This window comes from Homo sapiens, chromosome 12 (assembly GCF_000001405.40).
Source record: "Homo sapiens chromosome 12, GRCh38.p14 Primary Assembly".
Lineage (NCBI taxonomy): Eukaryota > Metazoa > Chordata > Mammalia > Primates > Hominidae > Homo > Homo sapiens.
The window spans coordinates 114,972,432-114,983,023 of NC_000012.12; the positions used below are offsets into that span (position 1 = coordinate 114,972,432).

Genomic DNA, 10,592 nt, shown 5'->3' on the forward strand with positions numbered 1-10,592 from the left:
GTCTGTATTTCTTCTGTAACAGTTTGCTAGAACTTTAATGACCGTACTGTGTGCTATTTGAAGGCCAGGACATATTGCACTCATATAGTGCTGAACACATGGTATGTACCTTATAAATGCTTGTGTTGTTATAGTTTAAGTGTTAAGCCTATTTTATTCTTCTACCCGGTCATTGCTATAGGCAAAATGTTTTGAGTTAGTTAAGGAATTTTTAGTTGTTGGAAGCAAAAATTTACCATAAATCATACAAAAAATGGAATGTATTACAGGGCATTGGGATATGTTGAAGATGACAAGGTCAAAGGTGCATGATAGGCCTCATCAGGGCCTGGAACCAGGAACCCAGAAACCCAGGACCTGAGACTACTTTGTCCACCTCTCCTGGTTTCATGTGGCTTGTCATCTCTGTTTCTCTCTCTATAGGTCAACTTCCTGTCTTTGTGGTCAGCTTTTCTATGTCACTTGCACATGTCTATTATTCAAACTACTGTAGACACAAACATACATCCATCAGTATGTCCTCATAAGAAGATCTTAGGAAGGAAAAACTGATTGGTCCAATTTAGATCATGTGCTCCTGTTTGCTCCAATCAGCCGAGGACAAAGATGAAGACTCACACATTTCACAAATTAAGAAAAAGAGTTGATGGTGCAGCTGCTTTGAAAAACAGTGTGGCAGTTTCTCAAATCGTTGAACATAGACTTACCACATGACCCAGAAATTCCACTCATAGGCATTAATCAAAAAAAAAAAAATGAAAACATTCATCCACATAAAATTTGTACATGGATGTTTGTAATAGCCAATAAGTGAAAAGAACTCAAATGTCCACCAACTGGTGATCTGATAAATAAAACGTGGCTTAGCCGTGCAATGGAACGCTAGTGGGTAATAAAAAGGAAGGAAGCACTGAAACACGCTACAACATGGATGAACCTCAAACGCATGATGTTAGGTAGAAGAAGCCAGATGTAAAAGACCACATATTCTATGATTTCATTTATTTAAATGTCCAGAAAAGGCAAATTTCTAGACACGGAGTAGAGAAGTGTTTGCCTGGGACTGGAGTGGGAATGGGAAATAACTGTAATGGGCACGAGGTTTCTTTCCAAGGTGATGGGAAAGTTTGACTGTGGTGATGGTTGCACAACTCCATAAATATACTAAAATCCATTTAGTTGTATACTTTCAGTGGGTAAATTTCATCATATGTACATTATTTCTCAATAAAGCTATTCGAAAGGAAGGAAAGAAAGAAGGGAGGAGGTTTGGAAGAAATGGTTTACATCATCCATGGATGGGTTCCCCTCCAGTTGCCCCAACCTGCAAGGTGAATTCCTGCCTCTGTGTCATTTTTTGAATCATTTATTTTGCCAATACCATTCTACCCTCCATTTATTCAATTGTTGGGGGTGGGGGTGGGGGGGCTTCTGTTTCATTCTCTGCAGCTATAAGCATCAGACATTTCTCTCTTTTTAAAATGAATTTCTTATTCTCAAGGCCCCTAGACCTCACTTGCTGACACTCTTCACCTCATTCACGCATCCCCACAACTGACCTTCTTTCCCTCTATTTCATCATGCCCTATGAATTTCTCCTAAGATCCCAAAGTGGCGTTCCCTGAAATGTTCTTTCCCCACATCTCTGCAAAGTTCATTGGTGCCTCTCATTCAAGTCTTCCCTCTAACATCGCTTTCTCATAGGGATCATCCTGACAACTCTTTCTAAAACAGTGTCTCAATCCCAAATATTTTCTGCTTTTCCCTTAGGTCACCCTCCACCCTTCCCCGCCCTGCTCTGCGTCTGGAAACTGACTTATAGAGACACATCAATGGACTTTCCTGCCCTCTGCCTTCCTGTTGGGTTTGCCAAGGACCAGTCCTGTCTTACCAATTCCATTTTCAATTTTATTAGTGTAGGGACTAATCTTTACACTTTTGGATCCACCCTTTAATACTATCCCCAGTTCCTTATAGATGCCCCTCAATTTGTGGATAATGACTGCCATATTTATCATAGTTCCCTAGGAGGAAAACTGATAACCTTCTTTTGGAGATTCACAATATAAAGCATAATATCAAAGGCTCTGAGAAGGCCTGCACATAAACAAACAAAGCAAGCATGCAAACACATTTAATTTTGTTTAGCCTAGCTTATCCCAAACTTCTTAAACCATGGATCCCTTTTTCATGCAGTAAGTGTTAACGTCTTATAGACTTAAAGTCCTTCTGAGCATAGTTTAGGAAACTTTGTCTTTTCCTATGTGAGTTCCAATTTTCATGTCCGTCCCACAAACTTTCCCTTATGTCAGAGTTAAGACTCAGAGAAGTCAAGCGGCTTCTGCACAGTAATTTAAGCTCACGAGTTGCATAGCTGGAATTTGAGCCCATGCCTGGACACAATGAAAGCCATATTTTTGCCCCTGTACCATGCTCTTCCTAAGATAGGGTGGATTGCCTGGGATTCACCTTAATTATTTGATAAAAATAATTTGTAACTAACCATTGACTGCTTCTCAGTGAATGCTATTCTGAAGGACTTGATGACAGTTCATTCTCCGCTCCGACAGTCTGCTTTGCATTATCAATTTGTTAAGAAACTATTTTTGTAGAGCTGTGCAAAAGGAAACTTCTATCCAGACTGTCTGAATTATCCAAAAATTCTGAACTGATGGCATCCAAATGAATAAGACTTTACAGAACTGTATCTCAAGAATTGATTAGATTTGTCAGTTTTCCTGGGATATAAAGTCCTGGATGGCTTTCCTGAAAGTACGCTAGAACATAAATAATCAGTAAGTTTTCAGGTGAATTCCAGGGAGTCCATGGGAAAAAGAAAACTCTGGCTGTCTGCGTGGAAATCTGTAGTCTACCTGACAAAACCTTACACATAGTCCCAAAGTATGAGCTCTATGATGAGGGTGTTTGGGGGAAAAAAAAAGCAAAGATTTTTTTTTTTAAAGTTAAAACACTTTCCAGCAACCAGTGTTAAGATTTAACAGCCAAGAAGGTCAGGGTGATGAACTTGCAAACGTTCATGGACACTAGGCACCCAGTCAACTCCCCAAGCTCCAAAATGCTAGAGGGTCAGCAAACAAGGAAAACATGTTTTCCTAACTAAGAAAAAAATGACGTCTTGGATTGATATATTTATTTATTTATTTCCCATCAGGGGATTTTTGGAAGGCCATGTCTCTTGGCTTCCTGAGTCTCTTCCTCCTCTGTTTTAGGGAGGGTGATACGTAAGGCAAAGCTTACAAAACAAGATTTGGACCATTCTCCTTTATGTTTTCCAGAGGCTACATACTAGTGATGAAAGATCTGACCCAGGAATTTAAGTTCATGAGTGGGGTGGGGCGGTGAGGGGATGCTGGGGGGCCTTCCATCCCCAGCTTCTGTCTGTCCCTGTGGCTGGACTCCAACCACTTTATTTTTGAAGGGCTGAGCCAGTCCTGTGGTTCACTGGTGGATCCATCTTTCCTTACAAGGAAGTGGCTTTTTGCTTCTTTCTGGGATGTGGGGTCTGGGATGTGTTTACGCTCAGCAGAGCTTTGGATGAGTCTCAGTATCCACTCATTTATTCAGTGAGTACTAATTGAACATGACTGTATGCCTGGCACTCTGCTAAGCATTGAAGATGTCAGAAACAAACAACACTATGTCTATCTTCTTAGGGATCCTGATATTTTTTGAATTACGTGGCACCAGTTCCCACTATAGGTCATTTGGACTCAGAGGGAAAGATTGTATTAGCAATCATCTTTCCCAATCCTCCCACTTTACAGATGGGAAGACCAAGGTTCAGAGAGGAAGAAGGGGCTTGCTCAGGGTCACATGGTAGATTACTTACATGTTCTGAAGAAAGATACAGTTTTCTTGCTATTTAACCCAAAGCTCTCTTCTTTGTATCATATTGCCTCTCACGGTTCATTCAACTAGCTTTCCTGAGCACTCGTTGGACACCATGAACTGCATTAGGCTGAATGAAACTCACATATGTCACTCAAGAAGTTGAAAGATCCAAGCTGGTGGTGATGGATTCTTAAGTCATTAACTGGGAAATATGGAAGAGAGAGTGTAGACGTGGGAATTATATGGGCTTAGGTTTAAATTCTGGAATCCCACTTACTCATCATGGAATTCAACTTATTCATCATGTTGTCTTGGGCAATTATTTAGCTTTTCTGAGCTTCAGTCTTCTCACCCTTAAAACAGGAATAGTGCTAGGACCTAGTGCCTATGAATGTTGGAAGTAGAAGCAACAATATATGGAAAATACTTTGCAAAGCACCTGGCACAAAATACTGAGCACTGACTGGTTGTCATGAGTAATAATCACTGTGATAAATGCTATCTATAATTGTGTGTACAGCATTCTGGAAACACATAGCAAGAAGGAATTCCATCCCAGGGATAGGACCTTTGGTTGGATTTTTCTGCCTGATTTTGGGGAGGAGGCATATTTTTCAAGGTGAAAATCTCTCTACAGGCATTTCTGCTCTAAGAATTATATTCTCTTATGAATGACTAGAAAAGTGAGTACAAGAAACATGGCCACAAAGTGATATAAACACAAAACAGGACCATTCTTGAAGCTGACCAGCTAGATATTGAGTTCTTTTAATGGATACATCCACATGCTCCAACTACAAAGATAATCCATGTTTAAAGGATGATCCAAGACATGGGAATCTCAAAATGCCTTATGAATCATCAGAGATCAAACAGATTGAGTCATCCAGGATTATTTACATTTTTTATGTTGCAATGCTTTGAAAATTGGTAATAGTATAGAGTTCACTCCCTGTTGATGCTAACAGCAATTGGCCTTGACAAGCATTTCCCAAAGCCTGCTTTGTGGAACACTAGACCTGTGGCATTCTCACTAACTTTAGGTAAAACATGTACCCACATATTTCCAGAATACGTTAGCTCATGCACAGCACAGTCCCTGAGTGCAGAATCCCATTTATGTTCTTTACCCTAGTAGAATTTCCTTTAATCCCTTGATTATAATGTCCTCTAGGACAGGAACTGTGCTTGTCTTGTTCTTCACTGTATCCCAGCAACTGGCACAATTTCTGGGATGTCGTACACACTTAGTATGTATTTCTTGAAATAATCATGTACTTCTTAAAAGGACTTGTAAAAGTAATTTCAACTTTTATCTTAGATTCAGGGGGTACATGTGCAGGTTTGTTACATGGTATGATACATGACACTGAGGTTTGAAGTGTAAATGATCCCATCACCCAGGTAGTCAGCATGATACCCAGTGGGTAGTTTTAAACCCTTGCTCCCCTCCCTCTCTCCCCCTTCTAGCAGTCCCCAGTGTCTATTGCTTCCATATGTACCCAATGTTTAGCTCCCACTTATAAGTGAGAACATGCAGTGTTCGATGTTCTGTTCCTGCATCAGTTCACTTAGGCTAATGGCCTCCAGCTGCATCCATGTTGCTGCAAAGAACATGATTTCATTCTTCTTTATGGCTGTGTAGTATTTCTTGGTGTATATATACCACATTTTTAAATTTTTTACCCAATCCGCCATTGATGGGCACTTAGGTTGATTCCATGTCTTTGCTACTCTGAATAGTGCTGCAATGACCATATGAGTGCATGTGCCTTTTTGGCAGAATGATTTATAAAACATGGAAATTTATCCTGAGAGGCTACAGAGGTGCCTTAAGGACAGCAGAAAGAAGGTGGGATGGGGCAAAATGGGTGGGGCTCCAGACCACACCCTTGCCTTAACCACATCCTCCACACCTTAACGGTGACTGCTCTATAGATTTGGCTTTCTTTTGAATTAAGGGTTAAGTGTTTGTAACACACCACTGTGGAGAAGAGTATGGAGGTTCCTCAGTGTATTAGTCCATTTTCACATTGCTGATAAAGAGGTACCTGAGATAGGTAATTTATAAACAAATAGAAGTTTAATGGACTCACAGTTCCACATGGCTGGGGAGGCTTCACAATCATGGTAGAAGGCAGAAGGCACGTCTTACATGGCTGCAGACAAGAGAGAATGAGAGTCAAGTGAAAGGGGTTTCCCCTTATAAAACCATCAGATCTCATGAGACTTATTCACTATCATGAGAACAGTATGGGGGAAACCACCCCATGATTCAATGATCTCCCACCCAGTCCCTCCCACAACACGTGGGAATTATGGAAGCTACAATTCAAGATGAGATTTGTATGGGGACACAGCCAAACCTCATCACTTAGAAAACTACAAATGGAACTACCATATGATCCAGCATCCCACTAGTGGGCATTTATCCAAAGGAAGGGAAATCGGTACATCAGAGACATCTGCACCCCCGTGTTTATTACAGCCAAGATATAAAGTCAACCTAGGTGTCTAAAGATAGATGAATGAATAAAGAATGTGGATGAATAGCATGGAACACTATTCAGCCATAAAAAAGAATGAAATCCTCTCTTTCATAGCAACATTGACAGAACTGGAGGACATTATGTTAAGTAAAATAAGCCAGGCACAGAAAGTTGAAACCTTTCATGTTCTCACTCATATGTGGAAGCTAAAAAAAAAAAAAAAAAAGCTGATCTCACAGAAATAAAAAGTGGAAAAAGGATATTAGAGACTGGGAAGGGTAAGGGAAGAGGGCTTAAGGACAAATTAAATGTGACAAAATTACAGCTAAATAGGAGGAATAAGTTCTAGTGTCCTACAGCATTGTAGGATGACTCTAGTTAACAATAACACATTATATAGTATCAAATAGCTAAAAGGAGGATATTGAATGCTCCCAACACAAGAATGATAAATGTTGGAGGTAATAAATATGTTAATTACCTTGATCTGATTACTATACGTATGTATCTCATAAATATGTACAATTAAAAAATTTAAAAAATTAACAGACAAACAAATACACTGTTCTAGAAGAAATTGTATCATAGAATGTAGGTGTTGAATAGTTGAAGGGAACAATCAAGGTTGGGCCTGACAGATTTAGCTATGTGTATTTTACTTCTTCTATTCTTTTCTTTCTTTCTTTTCTTTTCTTTTTTTTTTTTTTTTTGGAGACAAGAGTCTCACTCTGTTGCCCAGGCTAGAGTGCAGGGGCACGATCTTGGCTCACTACAACCTCCACCACCCAGGTTCAAGTGATTCTCGTGCCTCGGCCTCCAGAGTAGCTGGGACTACAGGTGTGCACCACCATGCCTGGCTAATTTTGTATTTTTTAGTAGAGACAGGTTTCTGCCATGTTGGCCAGGCTGGTCTTGAACTCCTGACCTCACGTGATCTGCCCACCTCAGCCTCCCAAAGTGTTGGGATTACAGTCGTGAGCTTCTGTGCCCAGCTAGCTAGGTGCATTTTAAAAACTATAACTCCAAAGCTCATTTGATTGTGGCCCTAGTCATTCATTCTTCCCTAATTATGGAATGTTTCTACATGTCAAACACTGCTCTAGACCTTGAAGATACAGACAAATATGAAAGACAAGGCCTCTTGACCTCAAGGAACTTATGGTCCAGTGGGAGAAAAGGGTACTCTTAATAAACCAGTAAACAATCACATAGCCAGCATGATTTCAAATGAGACACACACCATGAAGATGATATAATGGAGATGAAGTTGAGAGTGCTGGAGAACGAGGTGGTGATGGAAAAGAAGTCCTCTCATGGAAGAAGCCATTTGTATTGAGACCCAGAAGGCATCTGAAGACTAGCAGGGAGGAAATCCTGCCTGCAAGGGATGGCATATGCAAAGACATTGAGGCAGGAGTGAAATTTGTATGCTTGAAGAACATGAAGCAAGCCAGTGTGGCCAGAGCGTATAGTAAGGTAGGGATTGAAATGTGATTGAAGATGTAAGCCGAGGGTTACATTCAGCTCATCTGTCTTCTCAGTGTCAACCACTGTGTCTGGCAAAGACCAGGCACCATGGATATATGCTCAAGGTCCAAACTAATGAAATTAATTAATTGCATCTCTCAATTCCTGTTCTCCATAACCTTTGGTGCCACTGTCTGTGCATATTTTACAAAATAAAGCTAATTTTAAAAACACAGCTGTATATTGTTGTAGCTATTTTAATAAGTATGACCATGCCTATGGAGTCAGTACAAGAAAGGATTTGATATTGACTGCCCCCCACCCCCCAAATCTAAGACTTACTTAGAGGATAGATATTGCCCAATTAACTGACTGGAGACACAGGGAAATTGCCGCCTACTACAGAAAAATTATCTTTGGGGAAAATAGCCCATGGAGGACCAATGACTTGGCCAACATCACACAGGGGATTTGATGAATACCAAGGGTAGGAGCCCATCTTCTTACCCTGCAATTGAGCTCTTGGATGGGAAGATTACCTGATCCATTTAATTCCATCTACTTTGACATGCTCGTACTTGAAGATTCCCCAGTACAATGTACTCAGTTCCCAAAATATGGGATTTTAAGTGAAACCCTGACGTTTAGCTCTAGGGCTAAATAGCAATACACAAATCCCCCAATTAGAAGCAGAGATGGAGATGAAATGGTCCCAAGGAATCTGGAGACACAACAGTTTCAAAAGGCAGCAACATTCTGGGGCAGAAAGAGAGAAGTTTCAGATCTCACACCAGGAATGCAAAACTAAATGAGAACCATTCAAAAGCTCTGGGGGGTTATAAAGTTGAATTCCCTCTTGTACAGTACACAAGAGTTATTAAGTGTGTATATGAGGCTCCTGTTTTACTTCATGTACATGATTATTTTATACAGGCAAGTTTGGAAAGAATTATAGGCTGAGAGCTGGCCAAGATGCAAGATGAGCAGCAGAGAGTGGGGGCGGTGGTTGCCATGTCATTGTTTGGAAGCTTAGGCTTCTTGGAGAAAGCTAAGGCGGGATCTATCATAGGTCAAAGGGTTAGGGTACAAGTAGAGTGTAGAGTTGGACTCTGTGCAAAGCTCATCTCCAAAAAGGCATTCCAGGCTTCAGCTTCACGGGAAAGGGGCAAGTTTGAGAACGAAGGGAACAGAACTAGGGACCAAGCCCAGCAAGCTTGGTTTAGTCCACTAATGTCTGGAGACCAGGAGGATAAAGAATTTGGATTTGACTTGCCTGGCTTTAAGATATGAGAGAGAGCATGGGTTATTGTCAACGTAGCCAGTGATTACAAAAGTGAGAATATATTATGTTTCTGAAAGAAGTCCCGGAGGCAGAGAGCTGGGGATAAAGGGCTGCTTTTAGGCGAGACCCAATTACAACCAGTCTGGACTGGTCACATCTTTCCTGAAAGTGGGTCAGAGGCAATGGAATTGGTCTACCCAGCTCTTTCTGGATTACATTCCTATATAAGAGGGGCAGGTCTCTGGCATCGGAAAATGCTGAATTCCTACCTTTGCTCTTAACTCTGTGAACTTGGGAAAGCCCCAGTTGTACCCACTGTAAAATAGGGATTAAAACCTCTACTTATATTAAATTTTTAATATGGCAGAGACTATGCAAGGTGGGCTGTTATTAAGTGACAGCTGTCATATTAATAATAATGACTATATTAATAATTTTAATGAAGAAGGATTGACTGGGTGGCATGTGGAGTGGGACTGATATTGGGCATGGTATGTGTAGTTTGATGAGCAGGGGATCTCTCACCATCTGTTTTATATGGCCTGGGTTCACTGTGGTGCAGCTACAAAAGACTCCCAAAGCTTTACCGAGTTGGCAAAATGGTTCTATAGCTTGAAAGACATTGTTTTCATGGTGACCTCCCTCACATTCATGGATTATTTGAATTTTGTAGACACTAGCCAGACCAAATGTCAACTGTACTAGAGGCTAAAGCTTTTCTCTTGGGTAAGCTCAAGATACACTACATGAAGCCCTAGTTTCTTGGAGCTACAGCTTAGCTAAAGAAATATAATGCATACAGCTAGGCATGGTAGCTCACACCTGTAATCTCAGCACCTTGGGAGACTGAGGCAGGTGGATCACTTGAGGTCAGGAATTCAAGACCACCCTAGCCAACATGTTGAAACTCCATCTCTGTTAAAGACACAAAAATTAGCCAGGTGTGGTAGTGCATGCCTGTAATCCCAGCTACTCAGGAGGCTGAGACAGGAGGATCATCTGAGGCTGGGAGGTGGAGGTTGCAGTGAGCTGAGATAGTGCCACTGCCCTCCAGCCTGGGCAAGATTCTGTCTCAAAAAAAAAGAAAAGTTTAAAAAGAAGTGTAGAAATATAATGCATACATAAATCTGTATTATTAGGACACAAAATTGTCTTCTTTTGTCAGGCTTAAACAAGATAGACATTTATTTTTGTCACATATATCATACAAGGCAGTTTCCATCCCATAAGGCCGTGCAGAGACACAGGCTCCTTCAGCCTTGTTGCTCTGCCAATTCTAGAATGTTGCTCTTAATGACATAGTCTAAGATTGCACATAACCACCTTCATTCCAGCTGGAGAAAAGAGGGCAAGAAGAGAGAGGCATGATCCTTCCTTTTAAGGGTATAACTATTGGTCAGATTGGAGTCACATGACCACGTGGCTGCAAAGAAGGCTGGGTAATGTAGTATTTATTCTCAATGCTCATGTACTTAGCTAAGAGTCAGGGGTTTGTGGAAGCA

The 10,592-nt window shown here is 40.9% G+C and overlaps 1 annotated feature.

Annotated features, from left to right (window-relative positions):
- Positions 280-480: a silencer, noted in NCBI's record as "peak1977 fragment used in MPRA reporter construct". NCBI's record gives its function as "represses an SCP1 promoter by STARR-seq MPRAs in K562 erythroleukemia cells {active_cell/tissue: K562}" and the evidence as "EXISTENCE:reporter gene assay evidence [ECO:0000049][PMID:32103011]".